Source organism: Homo sapiens, chromosome 13 (genome assembly GCF_000001405.40).
Source record: "Homo sapiens chromosome 13, GRCh38.p14 Primary Assembly".
Classification (NCBI taxonomy): domain Eukaryota; kingdom Metazoa; phylum Chordata; class Mammalia; order Primates; family Hominidae; genus Homo; species Homo sapiens.
This window is the reverse complement of record NC_000013.11, coordinates 26,648,990-26,673,823: the sequence shown is the minus strand read 5'-3', so window position 1 is coordinate 26,673,823 and position 24,834 is coordinate 26,648,990. Positions and strand designations below refer to the sequence as shown.

Below are 24,834 nucleotides of genomic sequence, written 5' to 3'. Positions count from 1 at the left end.
GTGCTCTGTACTTGTCCTTCACTAAACTTACCAACAGTGTAACTACATATTTAAAACTTCATATTTATTTGTGTAATTAAGTTTTTAAGGCTTTTAAAGCATTAAACTAAAGGAGACAAAAGTTCAAAAACATGGGTTTTTTAATCCCCAAATTTTCTAAACTAATTTTTCCTTCAGATTTGTCAACTGCAAATTGAGCATGATTTGGGTTTCTGAAATCCTGGGAAATAAAGAATATCTTGCCTCATTTTCTATTTCCATATGAAGCGGACCTATATGAACATTTTGAAACTTCTCTCCCTCTTTCTGCATTTCCGAGGGCTGCATGATTATTTAAGGCCTGTGTCCCTCACTATATTGTCCTCTCCATGAGGGTGGTAATCCTGTTTTTTTCTGCCACTGTTTATCCAGCATTTAGAAGGCATTCAACATCAAGTCATTATATAAGTGAATGAAAGAAATTCTTATCAGAATTTTATGTGTTTGAGGAAGGTAGAATGAGACAAAACAGCACAGGAAATAACAAATGATTTTAAAGACATAATATTCATACATAAAAATTGTTTCCCCTTCAAGAAGAGTGGCAAAAAATTAAACAGTTTTGCCAAAAGCATCATTGAGAAAGGAAACCTAGAAGGCCTTTTAAAAAAACAGGCACATTTTAAAGGCAGGTAAGCCCCAGCATTTTCCCCTGTAACTATAAAAAAGCATGAGGATTAAGGTAAATATGCTTTTTAAATATTTGTTCCTTTTCCACTCAAAAGATTGGTATCTTTCTTTTTTCTTCACTTGAATATTCTGCAAAACCTAGCAACTTTTCCAAGATATATCCCAATTAAATCTCCCAAAGCCATGAGCACAAGAAGACTGTGTGTGACCAAGTCCTTTGCATCCTCTTTCCCGGAACCAGCCATGGTGTCTTACAACAGCACAGTCTGCAAACTGTTCTCATGTTCTCTTCCCTTTAATGCTGTTTTCGATTTTCAAATTCTCCTCCAGACCAAACTGTCACTCCTACTGGGCCAACACACCTCAATGCCTCAAAACCCTAAGGCTATCAACTCACAAAATGCTAAGCATTTCTCCTAAATAAAGCGCTCTAATCTGTAAAGCAAACTGGATGGTCATTTTTAAATACAGCTGACATATAAAAATATTAATAAATACTTGCCCTTAGAGAATTATTCCTCTCAGTGGCCTAAGTCTAATTTCTGGGCCCAAAACGAACAATTTTCAAAACACAAATCCCTTAACCTGAGTAGAGTGGGCTTCTCCTTTGAAGACTGCTTGTAATGCATGCAGATATTTCTCAACCTTCAAACTTGCAATTCTCTTCCTACCCCTACCCCTTAAAGGGAGGCTCATTTTCAGTAAATCCTATCCGCTGAACGTGCAAATCACATATGCTTCTCAATCCCATGTGAACATCTTCCCAAGATTTTAATTACAGCTAGAAGGCAACCAAACAATTAAAAATGTTAAGAAGACAAAAGCACATCATTGTGCTGCATGATCATTGTATCTGATATGGAATACTGACTGCTTTACAAAAATTTGAGAACGCAGGAGAGGAGTTACTAAAACATGGTAACAAAACAAAGTTTAGGAACTACTTTTGTTAAAGCAAAGCAAGTGCTGGAGAACATATCAGTATTTATTGAAGATAGTATTACTGTGTTTGACTGAATTGTCAGGATCTTTTGTGAGAAATGCAACCTCTAAAAAAACTTCAGCACTATATCCAATATCTCAACCATTTAAATAATTTACTATTTCTAAACAAGAATCTCCTTTGAACACTGATATGCACATTTCCCATACTGAAATTATTTACCTTTTGACGCCTTTTCTCTTTCCTTTTGTCTTCTGTGTCCTGTAGCATTTTTTCTTTCCAGAGGTCAAAGAAATAGGAAGGATCAGTATAGAACTTCAGCCCATCCTTCTTGTCATCTCTACAAATCAATGTATTGTAAGTCAGGGAAGAAAAGATTGTTAGAGACTTTTATATGTAGGTTAATGTTAACTTGATTTGAACTCATGAAATTATAACATCTACATGGGGCACTTAAACTCTCCTACACATATTAAGTCTTTAAGTTTCCTTATTTGAAAAAATGTGAAAACATAAAATAGCAACCTGTTGTAGAATAACCTGTTGTAGGTTAAAAGTACTCTTGCAAATTTAGAATTGAGTATAGAAAATTGCTCAGAAAAAAAAAATCACAACATGACTCATATTCAGCAATTTATAATATCTCAATCACTTCAGGAAATTTTTTGCTTATTCCAACATGGGGCCATACACAGAGATGGATGGATTCTTACTAAGAACACATTCACTTCTACACTGGAGCTTCAATATCATTAGGATAAAAATTAGTAAGTACTCTTATCTCTTTTTCTCAATAAGGTTTGCCCAACATCTATAAGTTCAATTAGGAAAGAAGCAAAATGTTTATGGGGCATCAATGTAAGGAAAAATAGTGATGAACTATGTATTTTCAAACTGGAAGTAACCTACACAGAAACTTTATTCACCTGTGGCCATTTCATTTTAAAGCACTGTCACAGGCAATTACTGTGGTCTAAAGAATATTTTAAGTCTTCATATAAGTAGCTCATTTATCATAAAACCAATGATGGAGCTAGCAGAGGTCCAAAACTGTCATATAAATCAAGTCATGATCAAAACCATCATGATACAAAGTAAACACTGTTTTCTATTAATGCTTTTGAAGACTACCTTCAAAAGGAGGCAGAACATTTTATATTACTTCATATCAGCATTTCAATGAGTCATTAAGGAACACAGGGGAAGCAAAATCAGTTAAATGAGTATAGGAGAGTTTATGCCCAAACAGTCAATGGCTAATTTAATTGTTCAGAAGAAAACAAAGGTCTGTCATTAAAGCCCCTGCTATGCCATCTCCTGTTAAGTGTCTTACCATCAAATACAAAGGCCTGGGTGCCTATGGGGCTATTCTAGTCGCTATGTCTGAAAATCACTGAAGAGCCAGTGCAACTCACACTATACCTTAACCTTTGACTATTAATGTCCTTCCTTTCTTTTCCTAGTTTCCTAATTGATAGGCAACCTGCATGATAGAGATTTTATTAATAACATTATTGTGAAAAAGATAATTTGTTTCCCTAAGATACCAAGGCCTTGAATAGGTAGAGGTCTAGAAAAAGCTGCAAAATTTAAGACATATAAGAGGTACATTTGTTTTTTAAAAAATGGAGCCAGTACCTTCATGAAGGCGGGAACTCACTTAAGTAAGCAAATGTTAACCTTGACAAGAATATAAACAGATACGTTCTTTTTTATTATTATACTTTAAGTTCTGGGATACATGTTTAGAACATGTAGGTTTGTTACACAGGTATATGTGCCATGGTGGTTTGCCGCACCCATCAACCTGTCATCTACATTACATAGTTCTCCTAATGCTATCCCTCCCCCTTGTCCCTCACCCCCCAACAGGCCCGGTATGTGATGTTCCCCTCCCTGTGCCCATATGTTGTTCAACTCCCACTTATGAGTGGAGAACATGCAGTGTTTTTCTGTTCCTGTGTTAGTTTGCTGAGAATGATGGTTTCCAGCTTCATCCATGTCCCTACAAAGGACATGACCTCATTCTTTTTTATGGCTGCATAGTATTCCATGGGGTATATGTGCCACATTTTCTTTATCCAGTCTAACATTGATGGGCATTTGGGTTGGTTCCAAGTATTTGCTATTGCGAATAGTGCTGCAATAAACATACGTGTGCATGTGTCTTTATAGTAGGATGATTTATAATCCTTTGGGTATATACCCAGTAATGGGATTGCTGGGTCAAATGGTATTTCTAGTTCTAGATCCTTGAGGAATCACCACACAGTCTTCCAAAATGGTTGAACTTATTTACACTCCCACCAACAGTATAAAAGCGTTCCTATTTCTCCACATCCTCTCCAGCATCTGTTGTTTCCTATAGCTTCTAAACACTTAATTTTTCCGTCACTTAGGCTGGGCATGGTGGCTGATGCCTGTGATCCCAGCACTTTGGGAGGCCGAGGCAGGTGGATCACCTGAGGTCAGGAGTTTGAGACCAGCCTGACCAACATGGTAAAACCCCATCTCTACTAAAAATACAAAAATTAGCCAGGCTTGGTGGCACATGCCTGTAATCCCAACTACTTGGGAGGCTGAGGCAGGAGAATCGCTTGAACCCGGGAGGCAGAGGCTGCAATGAGCTGAGACTGCGCCATTGCACTCCTGCCTGGACAACAAGAGTGAAGCAAAACTTCGTCTCAAAAAAAAAAATTTTTTTTTCAGTCACTTTGTACTTCTTATATTAAGACAATATTGTTACAGTGCCATATTTAAGTTCAAATGTGAAAATTTATATGTTATATACCCCAAATATTGCTATATTAATGAAAAAGCAAATTTGGGCTGGCACTGCTATCCTTAAACACACTATTAAAAAGTCAAAGATATCAGGAGGCTGAGGCAGGAGAATCGCTTGAACCCAGGAGGCAAAGGCTGCAGTGAGCCAAGATCACCCCACTGCACTCCAACCTGGGCGACAGAGCGAGACTCCATCTCAAAAAAAAAAAAAAAAAAAAAAAGTCAAAGATATGCTTTATTTTCCATAAGACTGAATACACACACACACACATATATATGTGAAAGTCAAATCAGTTTTCATACTATAAATCACTACAACTATAAATCACTACAAATATTTTATCATGATCTAATCAATGTAGTGGTTCATTGGGTTATCTGATTTTTTTTCCTTAGAACAGAATTTCCAGTGAGGTTTCTTAGCAACGGCAGGTAGAAAGTTTTCATGAGCAAGCCTACATGTTACATTGTGTTTGAGGCTTCACTGCTAAGTAAAAATGAAACTGCCCCAGGAAAATGCCTATTGAACAAATGCAAAGCCATAAATTAAAATATTTGGCTCATAATGCTATATTCATACATATTCTTAATTTTTTTAAATAAGTGTGCTAAAACCTCCAGAAAAGTCTACTTTTTCCATAAAAAGGCGTGGCATCTTGCTCCTCTGCCATCAGTTTGGCCTGTTTTTCTGAGAGCCTCTCCCTGTCTGTGCGGAAAGAAAGTGGTGTAGTTTGAACTGCACTTTCCTAGCACAGCTGCAACAAAGGGTGGCTCCAAACATCTCCCTGTGGACCCTGAGAAAGGACAGGAATTAGGACCAAGAAAAATTCTATGCACTCCCTGAGATGGGCCAAAGGGCCCCTGAGGGTAGGACTGCTGAGAGGGTAGTAATGGAAGTGGAGAACTCGCAGGCTCCTGGAAGGTTCTCACAGGAGAATCACCAGAGAGCTGGCCCGGGGCTGTGAGGACCACTGGTCACCACAGCCTGTGCTTGTCAGAGGCCAAAGGATGAGCTCCACAAGAGGGTACAGAGGTGGGGAGAGGACAGGACATACCACAAGGGATGGAGAGACAGTGTGTGAAAGAGGGATATGGGACAAGAGGTGACAGCAGGTATGGGAAGAAAGTGCTGAGCTGGGAGAAGGCAGGAGGGGTGTTTAGAAAGAGCATTTTTAGTTAGTCTCTTCATATTATTTTTTTGCACTATTTATTTTCCATTGTTTTTCTTGGAAGTCTCGTCCTGATAACGTGTCCTACCATTTTCCAGTAACAGAAGGTTAATTTGCTGACTATATTTTCACTCTTCAAAACCCCTAACACTACAGAATACATTTTTTTCTGAATTAAATATCAAATGTCTCTGCAGTGCTGAAACAGGTATTTTGCTGCATTATAAATGAATTATGCAGTTCCTAATTGACTTCGAATCTAAAAACAACAACATAACCACACACAATACTGTTATGCAACTTACTCACTTCTACTTAAGGTAGCTACATCTAAAAGTTAAAATCAGAACTCACATTTCTACTGTTAAACGTATCAATATGCTGAAATACTGTAACTTTAATAATTATGTACCAATGAGTAGTTTCATTGTATATAATTCAATCATTATTTTCAAAGTTTGAAGCAATTCTGATTTTAACCCAGATGAACCATCAAGGACATTCCCACACAATGCATCAGCTTGCTCCCAGCTCTGCCCAGCTCTCCCCTCATCTCAAGGAGAGGCTCTGGGACTCATGAAGCTATACCTGTATGGTGTCAGGATGTTCAGAGGCGGTGGCTTATCACTCTGGTTGTAAATATCAGCAACAGGATTAGGAATGCTGTTCTTTGAAACCACTTGCTGGTCTTGGACTGTGGAACTTTTGAAAGCTTTTTTCATGTTGATATCCTGTAGTGAGACTATTTAGAGAAAATCCCCCAAGTTGAGTTATATAGAAATATTTTTAACTGTTTAGAAGTAAATACCATTTGACTCACAATTAAAAACACCTCCTAGAACAACCAAATAATATTTTTTATTGTCCATTTAAAAACCATGTTTAAGAGCATGTGCATTCCTTTCCTTTCACAGATAATAGCTATCACTATGAAATGAGGTCAAATCATGGCTTTTTTTTTGTAGTAATCTAATTATTTCACTGAACCTAATACTAGAGTAACATTATTTAAATAGCATTTCTCAGAAATCACATAGGAATATAGTTATGAATGTAACAGGCATGTAAATGCACAGATTTGAATATCCTAAGGAAAACACCGTTCAAACAACATTAGTTTAAATATAATGCATGTGGGAAATACTTCTGCAAAAATTACACAAATGGAAATAACACATTAAGTTTTTCTGAAACAAACATTAAGGAAAGATGGCAAATGGCAAAGCTTTTCAACATGTATCTAGTCCCAAAAATTAAGTAGCTTGATCGATGATACAAAATTACACTAAGGATTCAGAAAATTGGGGCTGGGTAAAGTTCTTTCTTGTGCTTGTACAGCACTTTACATTTCATTTATTAACTCACCTCTTTTTTTTTTTTTTTTTTTTTTTTGAGACAGTCTTGCTCTGTAACCCAGGCTGGAGTGCAGCCTCCCGGGTTCGTGCCATTCTCCTGCCTCAGCCTCCCGAGTAGCTGGGACTACAGGCACCCGCCACCACGACCGGCTAATTTTTTGTATTTTTAGTAGAGACCGGGTTTCACCATGTTAGCCAGGATGGTCTTGATCTCCTGACCTCATGATCCGCCTGCCTCGGCCTCCCGAAGTGCTGGGATTACAGGCGTGAGCCACCGCGCCCAGCCAACTCATCTGACTTTCATCAAACTTTTTGAGGTGGACAGACTAGGCTATTAACCTACCTATTCAACCACTGAAGCTGAGCTTCAGAAATGTTAAGATTCCAAAAACTCCAGCAAAAAAGTGGCAAGACCAAAACAGAATACAGACTTCCTGTCAGTCAAGTATTTTTTCTACTGTAACATCCATGGCAAGGAAAGTAATAAGGTAAAATCTTGTTTGGAAAAGGATTTTAAAGATATGACATGTACTATAAAATCTCATAAAATTTAATTTACCAATTAATCTTTTCTAGGGTAAGGTTTATCATAAGCATTCTAACGGCAACAGCCAACAAAAAGTTGAAGAAAGATGAATAGCTAATTTAAAACGTGAATGATTGGTTTAAAATGTTAAGAATTCCTTACCTGAACAGACCAACTAATACTTATTGTTGGAAAAGTAAGAATGCTTCTATAATGAATATTAAAATCAATGTTTTACATTTTTGTTATATTTGTAATTCACTAATCAAATTTTGACCTTTGAAAAAGACTGAACATGAGATAACATATATTTTTTAAATGATGAGAGATGAATTCCACAACTACTTTTTTTAAAAAATAAAAGCATTATTTTTACCAATACTACTCTATAGATATAGCACAAAAATCAGACACTAGGATCTTTTCAAAGCAACAAGAGCAATTGTTAACTGCCATTATTTAAAGGTAAAACTAAATTTTAACCTAAATATTTTTCTCAAAATAAATATGAAGTGGTATATTTTGTACTTTTTAAGCATATTTTCTCCAGCTCAATCTGAGTCTTTCATTCAAGATACTGAAAGTAAAATTTTAAAAAAGGGATCGTTGATAGTTTCAATTTTGTTGAAACTGACAATTTCAGGGTGTATCATCAAATGACTATCAGTTAACTATACAATGCTTGTCGACATTAACATTATTTTAAAGCCTGCAGCCTAAAGGCTTTCGGTAAATGCTATTTCTGAGAAGGTTAACAAAATTTTTAAATCAGCAGAATCACCAGGATTTTACAGGCATCAATCCTAAGAACACCAGGTGCTTGTGTCACACAAGGTATGTGTAACACTGTCTCAGTTGGACCATATCTCTAGAGTGGCTCTGTAAGTTTTAGGTAAGAAACTATTTTTAAAATAACTGTCAGTAACCTAAATTGGGGCTTCTAATACTGACTGTATTCAAAGAAGCCTTTAAAACAAATACTATATTTGTAATTTTTTAAAAAAGAGTATAGAGTTATGAGGTAGACCACATATGAATCTTTTCATCGTGAATTAACACAAAGTTGTAGGTTTTTCCCCCTCGCTATTCTTCTAGGAAAGACAAGATGAAATATCAGCATGCCATCCCAAGGAAAAAGCAGTAATTACACTGCAATTAATTACTACCATCTTGTCAACATCACTTCTAGCTCACTGCTTTCAGGCAATTACCTACCCTCTTCCACTGTTGAATCCAGCTGGGTGACTTTGACAGCAAGGCGATCAATTCTGTCTTGAAGAGAATTTGCTCTGATGTAGAAGTTGTTAGCCTCATTAAACAACTCACCAAATATGTCTTCAGCATGTTTGCCTGTAGAATAAAATGAATGGAGAAGGCCATCTGTTAGGGAGCTGATGAAGCGGCCCTCACACATCCTCACCAGTGCTTATTCCTGTCAACATGTGGGATTTTGTGCAAACGAGTATGAAAATAAAGTGTCACAGTCCAAGGCCTTTAGAACTTTTGAAGTTTATTAGAGATACTCATATAAATCTGAAACTGACTCAATGTTGTAGAATTTTAAAATATCCCAGACAGTATAGAATCTTTATTGCTACATGAGCTATCGCTCAAGTTGCTTCCCACTAACTGCAACTTAAGTTCTCATTTTTCACGCTTTAAGTGTAAATACAATCTCAGGAACCAAACTTTCACTTATTCCTCAAGATAATTCAATTATCATGTTGGCCTTTAAATCTGGGATTTTATCTCATTCACAATCAGAAACATTAGATATTTTATTTGTGCCTAACACTTTCCAATGGCATTAAATTCTTCTAATTAATATTGTGAAATCTAGGTATATAGCGCTGACTCAGGCACTCTCTATAAACCAAGATTTTGAATTCTGAGTTAAATTTTTCTGCGTGGCTCATTTCCACATTCCTCTGAGTGCCAGATATAACTCCCACTTTTCTTAAAATGTAACATTTCTGAAAATTCAGCAAGCAAGATAAGAATCATTATCTGCTTACACTGAATTTCCAAATCCTAACACCATTACTTTATCCATGCAACAAATATTAAATAGCTGCCTACTCTGAGTGTGCAAGGCACATCTCACCTTAACTTTTCTGACAGACATACCTACCACTTCTTTTTATTTTCATTTTCTATCAGTTTATCACTCAAATGAGAGAGAGAACCTGAACCTCCCAGGAAGAAAACTTCATTAGAGTTAAGAATAACCCTAAAGTTCCCATGGTGCTTTATAGTTTATACGCTGCTTTCACAGCCACTTTCTGTACTCTTTGCTATAATCCATGAGACTGTGAACTCCGTGTGTTCCATGTTTTAGCCTTAGCCCTGTGTGATGCCTCCTGCACACACCTGTTCAATGAATAAGTGAGCCCGGGAGGTAAACAGGAAGTTAATGTTTTCATTCTCTGGCTGACTAAACAGAGGATCAGAAAGGTGATCCGTCCAAATCCCATGGCTAGTACATGGCAGAAATAGATGAAACAAAAATATGGTCTTCTAACTTTTAGTTCTCTGCTTTTATCACATAGCTCCCTGGACTCCCTTGGCTGCAATCTTCATGAATTATTTCATGCCATGAAACACTCGATAATTTCTTATCTACTTAATGAAATGGACTAAAATATTTTACTGCTTAAATGGTTACACCTAGACACTGGGAATGAATTCTTATGAATTTAAAATTAGTATAATTTCATAGATTCTGTGTAACTGTTTTAACAAGAAGAATTCCTCTTAGAAAATAAGAATAAATCAATAAACATGTACCCCATCCCCCACCAAAAAAGGAGAGAAAAACCCAGATTTCAGCTTTCAGCTAAGCATTAAATTGCTTCTCTTAAAGCTCAATATCCACAGCATGGTCTTCTGGGTTCACTTAAAATTCTGTCAACAGTTCCCATTCCCATAATATGCAAAATGGTTCCACAAAGGCAAAAAAATAAAGCCTTCACACAAACTATATACATTTTAAAATACTATAACTAGCTGCAGCATCCAGAATTAATGCTCGTTTATTGCTTTATGAACACCTTCCTGAGCTCCAGACTTGTTATCTAACTAGCTACTGAACATCTCCATGTTGACGTCTGTTAAGATTCTCAAATCCTGTACAAGCTGAAATATAACTCCTTTTCACCTTACCTCAAACCTGCATCCCCATGTTAAAAAGAACCCACCATCCAAAATGAAGCCCAAGCCAGAAATGGTGTCATTGTGACAGCTCCCTCTCTCTACGGCTAACTCAACACCAAGTCTTGTCCCTTCTACACCCACCGCCATCTTGCCCCAGACCCTCGTTTCTCTCCTGAATTACATCAATAGCTTTTAGATTCACCTCCCACCCCCGAACCCATGCATCACACTGCTGCCAAATGATCTAACAGAAAGAACTGACTACGTCATTTCTATTTAAATTCTTTACTGCTCCTCGTCATTTCAAGATAAAATCTAATAAGTATGTGTATGTGTATGTGTATGTGTATGTGTATGACACAGAGGGCCCTGTGCACTGCACTTCATTTCTTTTTTCCCCGGTTTTTTAAAAAATAATTTCAACTTTTATCTTAGATTCAGAGGGTACATGTGCAGGTTCGTTACATGGGTATATTGAGTGACTGCAGTTTGGGGAATGAATGATCCCATACCCAGGTAGTGAACACAGTATCCAAGAGACACTTTGTTGGCCTTTGCCCCTCTTCCTCTCTCCCCATCCAGTAGTCCCCAGTGTCTACTGTTCCCATTTTTATGTCTATGCGTACCCAGTGCTTAGCTCCCACTTAAAAGTGAGAACAGGCAGTATTTGGTTTTCTGTTCCTGTGTTAATTCTCTTACAATAATGGCCTCCAGCTGCATCCATGTTGCTGCAAAAGACATGACTTCATTCTTCATTATGGCTGCGTAGTATCCCATGATGTACCACATTTTCTTTATCCAATCCACCACTGATAGGTACTCAGGTGGATTCCATGTCTTTCTTACTGCAAACAGCACTGTGATGAACATACAAGTGCATGTGTCTTTTTGGTAAAATGATCCATTTTCCTTTGGGTCTATGCCCAGTAATGGAATTGCTGGACGGAATGGTAGTTCTGTTTTAAGTTCTTTGAGAAATCTCCAAACTCCTTTCCACAGTGGCTGAACTAATTTACATTCCCACCATGTTTACAGTAAGTAAGCATTCCCTTTTCTCTGCAGCATTGCCAACATCTGTTATTTTTTGACTTTTTAATAGTAGCCTTTCTAACTGGCCGCACCTCATTTCTGCCCTTGCCTGGTGCTCCAGCCAGAATGCACTACTTGCAGCCCCACACTCTCCCACTTCCTCACACTCTGTGCTTCTGCACAGCTGCTCTGCTCCCTCTGCCTCAGGCATGGGCACCCCCTTCCTCACAGTAGTAGCTGACTGACACTCCTGAGCACTCACAGGGGCAGACCAAAGCCCAAGTGCTTTACCTACCATTTCTCCTCTTACAAATCTGCCATGATTTCAATCATTTTAACAGTTTTAAGAATGACTGAAATCCCTCTCACCACCACCTCTCATACCCATTAGGATGCTACTATTTAAAAAACAAAAACAAAAACGCAGAAAAGTGTTGGTAAGAATGTGGAGAAATTGGAACCCTGTGCGCTGTTGGTGAGAATGTACAATGGTACAACTGCTGTGGAAAACTGTGTGGTGGTTCCCCCCAAAATTAAACATATGACCCAGCAACTCTACTTGAGTATATACCCGTAAAGAAGTGCAAGCAAGGATGTGAAGAGACATTTGCATACCTATGTTCACAGAAGCACTATTCACAGTAGCAGAGGTGGAAGAACCTGAGTGTCCAGCAATACATGAACGGATAAACAAAATGTGGTACACACATACAATGGAGTATTATTCAGCCTTTAAAGGAAGGAAATTCTGACACATGCTACAACATGGATGAACCTTGAGGATGACATTAGGCTAAGCAAAATTAATCAGTCACAAAAGACAAATACTGTACGATTCCACTTATATGAGGCATGTAAAGTAGTCCATTTCATAGAGACAGGAGAATGGTGGTTGCCAGGGGTCAGAGGAAGAGGGAAATGGGGAGTTCTGTAACGAGCGCAGAGTTTTGCTTCTGCAGGATGACAACATTCTGGAGATCTGCTGCACAGCCATGTGTACACAGTGGTTAACATTACTTGCTACAGCGTGGATGCTGGTTGCCTCCAAATCTCATGTTGAAATGTGATCCCCAATGTTGGAGGTGGGACATGATAGAATTTGTTTGGATCACAAGGGTGGATCCCTCGTGAATAGACTAATGCCCTCCCTGGGTGAGCGAGTTTTTGCTCTAGTAGTTCCTGTGAGAGCTGGCTGTTAAAAAGAGCCTGGCGGCACCTCCCACTCCTTGTTTCCTCTCTCTCTCCATGTGACCTCTGCACACACAGCTCCCCTTCACCTTCCTTCATGAGCGGAAACTTTCTGAGGCCTCACCAGAAGCAGATGCTCGTGCTATGCTTCTTGTACAGCCTGCACAATCATCAGCTAAATAAACTTCTTTTCTTTCTAAGTTACCCAGCCTTTACAGCAACACACAAAGACGCTACTGGACTGTCCACTTAAAAACTGTTAAGGTAAATTTAATGTTATGTAAATTTTATCACAGTTTTTTTTAAAAACCTGGAGAAGAAAATCATAAAAATCTAGAATTCTGCACTGAAAAACCCTCCCTCTTCCCCTGCTCCTCACCCTACACTCTTACTCTCCTCCCTTCGCAGCAAAGCTTCCCCAGAGTACCCCATGCTGCTCTGTCCTCGCCCCTTTCCCCATTCTGCCCAACCCCACGCCAGTCCTGTTTTTGCCCTATCACTCTATGAAAGGGCTGACCCAACTCAGCAGACCATTTCTCCCTGCTAAGTCAAGGGCCAGTTCTCAGGCCTCATCCATCCGGCCTCTCTCTGGCATGGCCCAGTGCTGACCATGATGCCCAGGCCAAGCCTGCCTGCCAAGAGCCTGCAGGTGCCCTCCTGCCTCGTGGGCCCTCTGCTCCCTCTGCTGCTTCCTCCCTCCCCAGACTCAAAATTCCACAGGAGTCCAGGGCTCGAGGTCTTGGCTTTTTCTTTTTATTTAACAAAAGTTCTTTTTGCTAAAAAAAAAAAAAAAAAAAAAAAAAAAAAAAAAAACCAAACAAAAAACAAAAGCTAATTACTTCTGCTTCTAAACCTAGTGTTTTAATATTTCCAAAAACTCCACTTTTAAAAGCTACTGACACAGAAAAAAAGATCTGTGTTAAATATTCCAACCTCTTCTCTTTTCCATCAACATTCATTTAGGCATCTCATCCGGTCTAATGGCTGTAAACACTTCCTCTATGCTGATGATTCCTAAATTTCTACCTCCAGATGGGCCTCTTCCTGAGATCCTGATGCATGTATCAAACTCCTTACTGACAGCATCACTGGGTGTCTAATAACTGAAACATAACTTGCCCTGAATGGAGTCCTAATACCCCCTCATAAGCCTGCTTCTCTCCCATCTTCCCCTCTTGGAAGAGCCAGCTCCATTCTTCCCGTTGCTCCAGTCACAGACTTTAGGGTCATCCTTGCCATCTCTCAATCACTCACACTCCACACTGGCTCTCCAGCAAACTGTCATACACATCCATTTTCAGAATATATCCAGGGTCTGACTGCTCTGCACGCACCACCTGCCCTGATCCTACCCTGTCCCAAGGCATAATCACCACTCACCTCGACCTCCCTAACCGCCAAGGGATTGGTCTTCCAGCAACCTTGCCTCCATCCACGCCCCTGCTCAGTTCACTCTCAACCGAGCAGCCCCAGTCATCTTGTCCAAACCAGTCTCAGATCCTGTTACTCCTCTGAGTGTTCAAATCCATTCCATGCCTTGCCAATTCACTCAGAATAAAAGCTAAAGGCCAGATGACCACTTATAAGCTCCTACACGACCTAGCTCCGTTCACCTTTGGGCCTCATCTCCTATTAACCTCTCGCTTGTATGTCCCACTCCAACTACCCTGGCTTCCTCACTGTTTCTCAGACATACCCAAGCATCCCCCTTCTCCCCAGGCCTTTGCATTTCCAGTTCCTTCTGCGTAGACCACTTCTGCTCCAGAAACTCACATGGTTTGCTCCCTCACTTCCTCTAGCTCTACACCCAAATGTCACCTTCTAAGTGAGGCTTTCCTAGCAGCCCTGGCTAAATGCCATCACCTCATCACACATGTGATCACACACCCCTCTTATCCCTGCTCTGCTGTATTTTCCTGACTAGCACTAATCACCAAGTAATAAATTATGCACTTGTATGTATTCATCTTGTTTCTCATCTGTCTCCCACCACTAGAACATATGATCCACAAAGACAAGGATTCCCCTTAGCTCTGTGTACTGCTATATCAGTCTCCAATGTCTAGAGCATGCCTGGCTTATAGTAGGTACTCAGAAAAGATTTCGGAATAAGTGAACAAAAACATAAGAACTGAGTCCTGGCTAACTCAGGATGTAGACTGGGCTCTGTAAGAGCATTTGACCCCCTCTGTGCTCCACAATGCCCTAAGCTGACCTGGATCACAGGACTCGTCAGGGAACTCTAATCTTGCCTTCATTCATCTAAGCTCTAGGAGAGTTGGAGTTCTGCCTTTCACCTCTGCACTGCTTGTGCTCAGCCAGTGCTCAACAACTATCAGCTGAATGAAAAACACATGATCTATGCCAGTGTTTCTTGTTAACAAGCACAAAGCCAACAAATGCTTCCTGCTCAAGGCAGGCTGGGCAATGAGGAGCTAGAAGGATTAAACATGTTTCTATGCCTTGGGGTGTCTTAAAGTCATTAATAAGCTAATGTGCACTGGCAATCTGCAAGAGAAGCATCTAACATATCATGTTCTCATAGTGACTGGGCCTGGAAACGCCTAATAACATCTTTCAGAACTACTGTTTTATAGAATCCATTTGGTGAAATGCTGGGTGTTTTGTAGATGAGCACCACGTTCCAAATGCTTCATATTCAAGTCTATCAGTTCTTTATTTCTGAATGTCTGACATAGTCACAAAATGAAACCAATTATTGTGTTTCTGCTTGACCATTCATAGTTTAAAATAAATTTATATATACACACATACTCCAGTCCAACTTTAAAAGCTCCCATCCCATCCCCTTCGGCTGTACAGAAAACTAATTAATAGGGACAGCATATACACCAAGACTATGGGAGTGTATACACAATAGCCTCTTGCAAAAGTGACAGCAATACTCTCAAAGCACACCAACTATTGTTGAGAACAACATCATGTACTCTCAGCTCGATGCTGCATAAGCAGAAAAGGACAAGCAACATTTGCTTCTAGGTCCGATGCCTAACCCTATTTGAAAAACATGCAACTGATACTACATTTCCACTCAGAAGTTCTCAATTTATAAAGGGACATAAAATTTAGAGACTTGCATAATTAATATTTTGCCAGCTGCTGAAAGCTGACAAGTGTCTGAAGAGAAAAAAATGGAAAGAGCTATATTTTCTGATGAATAAGAATAGTGTTATAATTACAATCTTCAGTTTTGCAAACAGCAAATGATTTGAAAAGCTGAATTCTACTCACTCTTTCAATAGCAAGTCCATTAATAGCTAAACTAATTCTGAATTATGGAGCACATTGAGGTAAATGCAATTTATTCATTCTTTGTTGACAAAGGTTCCACTTCTGGACTTATTAGTACCACATGAACTCATGTCCAAATACATCAGGTTGAGATAAATGCCTCTGTTAACTAAAGAAAAATCAGGCTTTTGAAGAATTAAAGTTAGCTTTATTTGTAAGTCTTACTGAGGAATGTAACCCGGGAGAGGCTTCTCAAGAGTTGTTATACTATTTTAAAGTAGTATTTTGGCCCACAGTTTATATATAAGTGATGGCGGCCCTGCCTGTGTCTAGCAGGTACATCAAATGTGTTTAGAAGTAACATTAGATACTTTTGCACCAACCTAATACAAGTTACAATAGAGTAAAATGTGAGGATACATCTGGTTACAGATGATAAAAGCAAAATCCTTAGACATTATCTTCTGTATTTGGAAAATGCAGTGATTTAGAACCTGCGCTCTACCCCGTGTATCATCTTTAGGGCATTCTTCCAGAGGGCTGCTCTCAGTCCTTGAGTCAGGCACTTTGTGAAGTTTTGTTGACAAGGGATTTTGTTGAAATTCTGCTGGCAAGCCAAGCGAACAAGCAAAGGGCTTCTTACTTTTGTTACTTTGTCTCACAAGTTCCCCCTTCTGGTCGTAATTCAACCCTCTGTTGTATATACAAGACCAGCAGTGATTGTATTATGTAGTTGGGAAGGCTCTTCTCTAGGAAAGTCCATAGTCTTTAGTCACAGTTGTCATAGTCATAAGGAATGAGTATCAGGTTTGGGGTGTATACTTGTCTATTTATTAGAAAACATGTTTTGGACTGTATTTATTTCTTTAATTAGTATGATCTCGTTTTTTTCTTGATGTAGTCTTTTTCTGTACCTAATCTATTTTAATGGGACTATTACAAGGAACTATAGATTATATATGGTAGTATTTATTTAAAATAAATAATTTTAAATACCATGAAAGTGAGTTACAGATCGGAGAAAACATAACTAACAAAATTGGGATATATTTGTATATTAACTGTACTTTTAAATTAAAAACTTTAATGGAAGTATTGACGATGAATTTTTGTTTGGGTTAGAATGATAAGACTTTTTTTTATTTCTTAGTATTGGGAAGGTTTATTACCAGGAAGTCATGTTTCTTGGTGGGGGAAAAACAATTTTGTTATTTATTGTAGGCTGGCCAGATTGTTAGTAATATGGGGTCAGTCACGACATGAAATTATATGTTATTTTTTGAATAATGAATTATTTTTAGTAACTGAGTGACAATTATTTTGGCCTTAGCCACTGATAAATAGTTTCTAAATTCTGGAGAGTTTCAGGTAAAGAGAATTTAGGTAAAGAGAGTTTTAAGTAAAGAGAGTTTAGGTAAAGAGAAAGGTAAATGTTTTCATTTGTTTATGAAACTACACTTTACTCAGTTGTTTTAAGACACGAATAGCTTAAAAGAAACTTTTTTTTACTTTGGAAAACAAAGTATAAAGAAAATCACTAATGTTTTGACTTTGTCTCACACCTCTAAATTGCCAAAGCATAAAAACTGTACGTGGATTTTCAGCTGTATTTAAAAGTAAAGATTTACTGGAAACAATCAAGGTATCTTGTATGAGTCCTTTCTGGGGAACAAAAGAGCAGTCATAACTAGGGCTTTCATAAATTTTAGCACACACACTGGAACCTAGATCTTGGTTTGACAAGATTTTGGCTTTTTGTACTCCACTAAAAGGAATCAAGCTTCTTGGAAAAATGACTCCAGGGCTGAGGGCAGAAAACCACATGAACCTAGAATGTATTGCTGTGCTAGAAAGAGTAAGGTACTCAAAGGACTTTACTTCCGAGATTGGTGGGGAGATGTCAAAAGGACACAGAAGCCTGTCTGAAAGGGCTCCCACCAGCCAAATGTGGAAAAACGTAAGGATCAAAATAAGTCAATGGATTATAAACCACAGAATAAAATAATCCATCAGTCCATACTGATATAAATGAGCAAGTAAATAAATAGGGAAATAAATGAAAGCATTTGCAGCAGAATGCTTACTAACTAATGTTGAAGAAATTATGGCATGACAAAAAAATCACCATTCTGCAACCACCACAGCAACTGTTTCTGTCAAGGATCATCAATGGATGCTGAGACTAGTGGGTTCATAGAAGGATGGGAAACAGAACATTTATATAGTCTCAAAGTGTCTCCCCATATGACACTTTTTAATCACATAGGGAAAAAAATCTTTGCATTACAGAAACTTGGGGTAATCAATCCACTGATGAAAGTCAATACCACCAGTTATGACACAAGCAGACACATGAGCTTCCTAATGAAACGCACAGGGGAGAACACATCATCACCGTGTGATATTTCTTTCAATATCTTAAATCCAGTCACGAGGAAACATTAGAAAATCCAGACCAACGGACATTCCATAACATAAATGCTGTTTCCCTTCTAAAGTGTCAAGGTCATAAAAGTGTCAAGGTCATAAAAGTGTCAAGGTCATAAAAGTCACAGAAAGACTGAGGAACTATTTCAGATTAAAGGAGACAAAAAAGAGATCATTTTTAATATATATGCATACATGCATTTGTATGGTGGGAAAGTGGAAGAGAAGTCTGAGAAAAAGAAGAAATGTAAAACAAAATCTGGGAAATCTGGGTGAAAGTTTATGGAAATTCTTTGTACTGTTTTTGGTCTTTTTAAAGTCTAAAATCATTTCAAAATGAAAAGTTAAAAAAGAAACTTTATTATAGTATCTGTAATGTCAGTTCCTATTGAATTCCATAAAATAACAAGTCATAATATTGGGCTTAAAGTTTTTTCCTCTTTTTTAAACCTATTTTTTCTCCTATAAAAGCAACACATGCTTATTGTAAGAAATACAGAAAATACAGGAAAGTAAACGGTAGGAAAAATGGCCCAAAGTCCAATTAAAGACTCTACTGCTACCGTCCTGATTATAAAACTAACACATGCTCATGATAGAAAATTTGAAAAATTAAGAAAAACAGAAAGAAAAGTCAACCATAATTAACTATAATGAACTTTTAAAATACTTCTTTACAATATTCTAAGCATTTTAAGAACTTAGATAACAGACATTGATTATTAAGCATATTCATTTTTTCAGCAAATATTCAAGCATCGACTGTGTATCAGGCCTTGTCCTTGTTGCTTGAAGAAATATACTTGTGGACACAGCCCCTGTTCTCATGAAGGGTGTATTATGGTTGAGGAAAACAGACAATAAACAAGCAATATGTCTGGTGAAAATAAGTGCTATGGGGAAAATAAAGCAATATTTTTTATAGAGAACAGAGTGGAAGGAAGTGGGTGGTGGTATTTCAGTGGTCACAAAAGCCCTCTCTGATAGGATGGTATCAAGTGACTGAAGAGGGGGAAGATGAATATCTAGGGAAAGAACCTTCCAGGCTGAAGACAAATATGTGCTTGGTGTATGTCAGCAACATCAAGGAAGCCAGTGTGGCTAAAGGCTAGTGAGTGATGGGGAAAAGGGTAGAAGAAGAGGACAGAGAAATAGATGCCCTTCCCTTTGTGTTGGGGCGGGGGTCGGTGGGGAGTGACTGGAAATCCAACAGAAGGCAAGAGGCATAGTGACTTGGATCGGAATAGTGACATCAGGGCAGCTAACAGGCATACAGACTTGCTACACATTTTGAAGATGACTGACGTCATTTCACTATTGGACTGGATGTCTCTGATAGGAGAGAAAGAAGACAATCAAAAGCACTGTAAGAGGAGAGCTTCCACTTGCTAAGACAGATAGGGGATGGCTGGCAAAGAGAGAAAGAAATCATAAGTGAAATTTTAGACATGTGGGATTAGAGATACCTATTAGAAATCCAAGTGAAGACACCGAGTGGACAGTTGTACAGTTGTATATAAGTTTGAAACTAGGAGATAGGTCAGAACTGAAGACACACATTTGAACATCATCAGCATAAAGATGTTACTTTGAGCCATGGAACCTGATGAGGTCACTTAGTAAATGAGAACAGGCAGAGAAGAGCCAAGTGGGGAAGATCACTGAGGAGACAAAGCACAGCTTGGGAGGTAGGAAAAACACCAGAGTGAGGTGGCGGACCACTGTGCAGGTGAAGAGAGTTTCTCCAGAGGAGACAGTTATCTGTGAGTCGCATGCCAGTAACAGATGAAGTAAGAAGGCTGATCCTGGCCACTGGATTTTAGCAGCATGCGAGTCACTGGTCATGCCAATAAGCACAGTTTCAAAAGCGTTGAGTGTGATGAAATCTCAATGGGGACAACAAACAATGTGGGAAATAGAGGCCATGGAGATATGAATACATCCTTCAAGGAATCTTGCTGTGGGAGCAAGAAATGGGATGACAGGGAGAGGATGATCTGAAATTTACTCAAATTGGGAGACTTCTTTGCATATTTATACTTGATGAGAATGACACAGAAAGAGGGGGAAAAATAATACAGAGAAGAAAGAAGGTACATGTATCCTGGAAGCACCCTGAGGATATGGGATCCAGTGCTCCGTTGGAGGAGACAGCATGGATAGGAGCATGAACAGCCCATCCATTTAAGGGAGGGTGAACAGGACACGTGGATGCAGAGCCTATCAGCGTGCAATGTGTCAGAGGGAGACCTTTACTTCTGCTCTGATTGCTTTTCTTTTACCAGTGAAATAAGAAGCACAGTCATCAGCAGAGTGGGGAGGTGCGAGGTGGAAAGATATGAAATAGGCAACTAAGAGCACAAAAATTAATTAACACAGAGATTACAACGGGAATGCTGAGCAACACCAAGGGCCCTACCTAAGGCATGGGCTCATGATTTTAAACCTTTCTTCTTTTCTAACATAACATTTAAAGCTACAAATTTTTCTCTATACACTTCTTTAACAAAATCCCACAAATACAATGGCATTTTGTGTTCACTACCACATGGTTAGCAATAGTTTCTAACTTCCCTTTTGAGTTTTTCTTTGACCCAAGGATTATTTTTTAAATACTGTTTGATTTTCCAATATTTGAGCATTATCTAAAAAGATTATAATTATCTCATTATCATCACTCTCTGTATATTAATCTTTTAAAACTTACTATTTTATGGCCTACCAGATGTCCCGTTTTGGTGTATGTTTCACGGGAAATTAAAAGAATGTGTATTCTACAACTTGGGAGTTTGGTATACAAAGATGAATTAAGTCAGACTGGCTGGTATATTGTTCAAACCCCCTATATCCTTACACATTTTCTGTCCACTTGTTCTTTCAATTACTGAGCGGTACTTGTTAAAATCTCCAACTATGATTTTGAGTTTGCCTACTTCTCCCCTCAGTTCTATTTTTATTCCATGTAGTTTGCAGTCCTCTTGTTAGGTACATATACATTTAAAGCTCTGTGTTCTTGACTCTTTTATCACCATTAAAGGTCCTGGCTTATCTGTTTTATATTCTATTTTATCTGACATTCACAAAACCACACCAGCTTTCTTATAACTTGTGTTTGCAGGGCATATTTTTTCATTAACTTTCCTTAAATCAGTGTCTTCATCCTCAAAATGCATGTATTTTAGTCTCACTTTTTAATTTAACCTGATAATCTCTGCCTTTTAAGAGGAAGTTTAAAATGTTTCTATTTAAAGAAATTATTGATGTGGTTAGGATTCAATCTATCATCTGACTGTTTTCCATTTGGCCCTTCTGTTCCTTCTTCCTTTGTTCTTCCTTTCTTGCCTTCTGGGATAATCAAATCATTATTTTAGGATTTCATTTGATATCTATGTTATTCTTGATGGTTACTAGAAATTATACTATGTACCCTTAACTCATCTCTACTTTCAAATAACATAGTACTTCATAAACAATGTAAAACACAACAGTGTAAGTCTATTTATCACTTTCACACTCAGCATTTACTGTCACATATTTTACTGTCACATACATTATAAATGCCATAAATTTTAAACAGTTACTAGTCTTTTAAGCAGATACAGACCTAATTATTGATGACCTTTTCTATTTAATCCCATATTTACTTTGTCTGGACTCCTTGCAGATCCAGGTTTCCAAATGGTATCATTTCCCTGAAGCGTTAAGAATTTTTTGTAGTACAGGTTGCTGGAGGACTAATTCTCTGAGACTTTTGTCTGAACAAAATGTCTTTCATTTTTAAAAGATATTTTCACTGACTATAGAATTATAGAATGACAAGTTTCTTCCTTTTAGCACTTACCCACTGTTTTCTGGTCCAATGTTTCTGATGACAAGTCAGCTGTCATCCTTAACATTGTTCCCTTCTTTTACATGATGTATATTTTTCCTCTTTCTTCTTTTAAGATTTTCTCTTCATCTCTGTTCCTTTAGCAAAATTTTTGGTTTTTGGTTTTTGTTTTTTGTGTTTTTTTAGAGTCTTGCTCTGTTGCCTATGATGGAGTGCAGTGGTGCAATTTCAGCTCACTATAACTTCTGCCACCAGGATCAAGCCATTCTCATGCCTCAGCCTCCCAAGTAGCTGAGACTACAGGCATGCACCACTGTACCAGCCTAATTTTTGTATTTTTAGTAGAGTTGGGGTTTCATCATGTTGGCGAGGCTGCTCTCGAACTCCTGGCCTCAAGTAATCCACCTGCCTTGGCCTCCTTAGCAATTTTATTATGACGTGGTTTTCTTTATACTTTCAGGAATTTGCTGAGTTTCTTGTGTCTGTTAGTTGATATCTATCATCAATATTCAAAACTTATCTTCCATTACTACTTCTGCTCTATTCCTTCTCTTTTTCTCCTTTTGTTCTGAGATTCCAATTACGTATGTGTCAGACGATTTGATATGGTCCCATATTTTGAATGCTCTAAAATTTTGTTGTTGCTTTCTAAATTCATTTTCTCTTGTGAATCACTTTAAATAATTTCTATTAACTTATTTCCAAGTTCACCAATCACTTCTGCTGGGTCCTGTCTGCTATTAGGTCCATCAGATGAATTCTTTCTTTCTGATACTGTATTTTTCAGTTCTGGCATTTAAAAAAATGATTTCCATTTCTCTGCTGAAACTGCTATTTCCTCACACGTTGTTCATCTTTTGCAGTACATTCAATATATTTTTCTTGATTCTTAGAATTTCCATCTTTCTGACATTACCTATCAGTCCCTGCATGTTATCTACTTTTCCATTAGATCCCTCAGCATATTAATCATAGTTCTTTTAAATTCCTGGTCTGACAATTCCAACACTCCTCCCATATCTGAATCTTGTTCTGATGCTAGCTCTGTACCTTCAAACTGTGTTTTTTGCCTTTTAGTATGCTTTGTAATTTTCTGATGAAAACCAGACATGACAAACAAGGTGAAAGGAATCCCACTACACAGGCCTTTAATGCTGTGCTGGTAGGGTGTCGGGTGAGGGGCAGTGAAAAGGGAGTGTTATACAGTCCTATGACTGGGGTCTCAGTCTTCTAGTGAGCCTGGGGCCCTGGGTCTCACTCCCGCTTCCCCTCAGGTTAGGCAGGACGACCAGAAGGGACTGGAGTTGGGTATTTCCCTCCAACCAGGTCTGTTAAGCTCTGGTAAAATCTCAGTCTGTTAGGCTCTGTTGAAATAATTTCTTTTGAGGGCAGGCATGTTAAAAAGAGTCAAATGTTTTGGGCGCTTTTTTTCTGAGACAGTTTTACTCTGTTGCCCAGGCTGGAATGCAGTGGTGTGATCTCTGCTCACTGCAACCTCCGCCTGCTGGGTTCAAGCAATTCTCTGCCTCTCCCCCCGAGTAGCTGGGATTATAGGTGCCCACCACCACGCCTGGCTAATTTTTGTATTTTTTTAGAGAGACGGGGTTTCACCACCTTGGCCAGGCTGGTCTTGAACTCCTGACCTCATGATTCAGCCTCCCAAAGTGCCGGGATTACAGGTGTGAGCCACCGTGCCCAGATGTTTTGGGCTTGTTTTAAAGTCCATTCCCCTCTCCTGAATGGACGAACAAAGAGATTTTTCTCCAATCTTCAATGTAAGAACCTGGTAAGGTTGCTGGCAGAAAAACACACAAGTGTGGAAGCCCCTCTGACTGGGCCCTTCTGGAGCTTTTAACTCTCAAACTTGTCCTCAATGAGCCTCCAGCAACTCACCAAGTTTCTGCAACCCTGAAACGGTTCCCACAAGGCTTTCTGTTCCAAATTTGGGGGCATCAGTTTGTCCTGTAACTTCAGTTCTTTGATGGATCTTTCAAAAGGCTGGTTTTCAGATTATTGAGCTTCCTCTTATTGTGTAGACAGGAGTGACTTCCAAGCTCTTTAAAAGCCAGATCAGAAACTGGATGCCCCTTCAATAAATTTTTCATAACTACTCGAAAGTACTTATCAGCCATTTCCAAAATTGGGGTCATCTGTGGGTCTTGCTTCTACTGACTGTCTTCTGTTTCTCTTGATCACAGGTCACATATTTTTCCTTTTCCACCTATCTCATATTTATATTTTTATTTTGCCAGACAACGTACGTAAAAGAATAGTAGATTAAAACAGAGAATGTTTACTCCCATAAAACGGCATCTTTTAAGGAAGACTACTACTTTAGGCTGCTGATAATCACAATCATGTACCTGATATGAGATAAAATTATATGAAATACAAAGAAGAGAGATGATAAAACCAGATAAATTTAGTGATAGCCAGAACTGAAAATTCAGATTTGGCTGACTCTCTAACTTGTGCTCCTAAGAATTATGATGCATTAAATCTTGCTATAT

The 24,834-nt window shown here is 38.5% G+C and overlaps 1 protein-coding gene across 10 annotated transcripts in view, besides 1 other annotated feature; it reads right to left on the bottom strand.

Annotated features, from left to right (window-relative positions):
• The window catches only part of WASF3 (WASP family member 3), a 149,810-nt gene that overhangs the window by 15,125 nt on the left and 109,851 nt on the right, over positions 1-24,834 (bottom strand). For all 10 annotated transcript variants that reach the window (XM_024449315.2, XM_047430060.1, XM_047430064.1 and 7 more), the window contains 3 exons: positions 8,662-8,796; positions 6,154-6,307; positions 1,835-1,952 (listed from right to left, as the gene is read on the bottom strand). In XM_024449315.2, coding sequence (XP_024305083.1) covers positions 1,835-1,952; positions 6,154-6,307; positions 8,662-8,796 — 407 coding nt within the window. The remainder of the gene's footprint in view (positions 1-1,834; positions 1,953-6,153; positions 6,308-8,661; positions 8,797-24,834) is intronic.
• Positions 14,773-15,367: an enhancer, noted in NCBI's record as "NANOG hESC enhancer chr13:27232594-27233188 (GRCh37/hg19 assembly coordinates)". NCBI's record gives its function as "activates a minimal SCP1, AML or CMV promoter by ChIP-STARR-seq in primed H9 embryonic stem cells {active_cell/tissue: H9 hESC(primed)}" and the evidence as "EXISTENCE:reporter gene assay evidence [ECO:0000049][PMID:30033119]".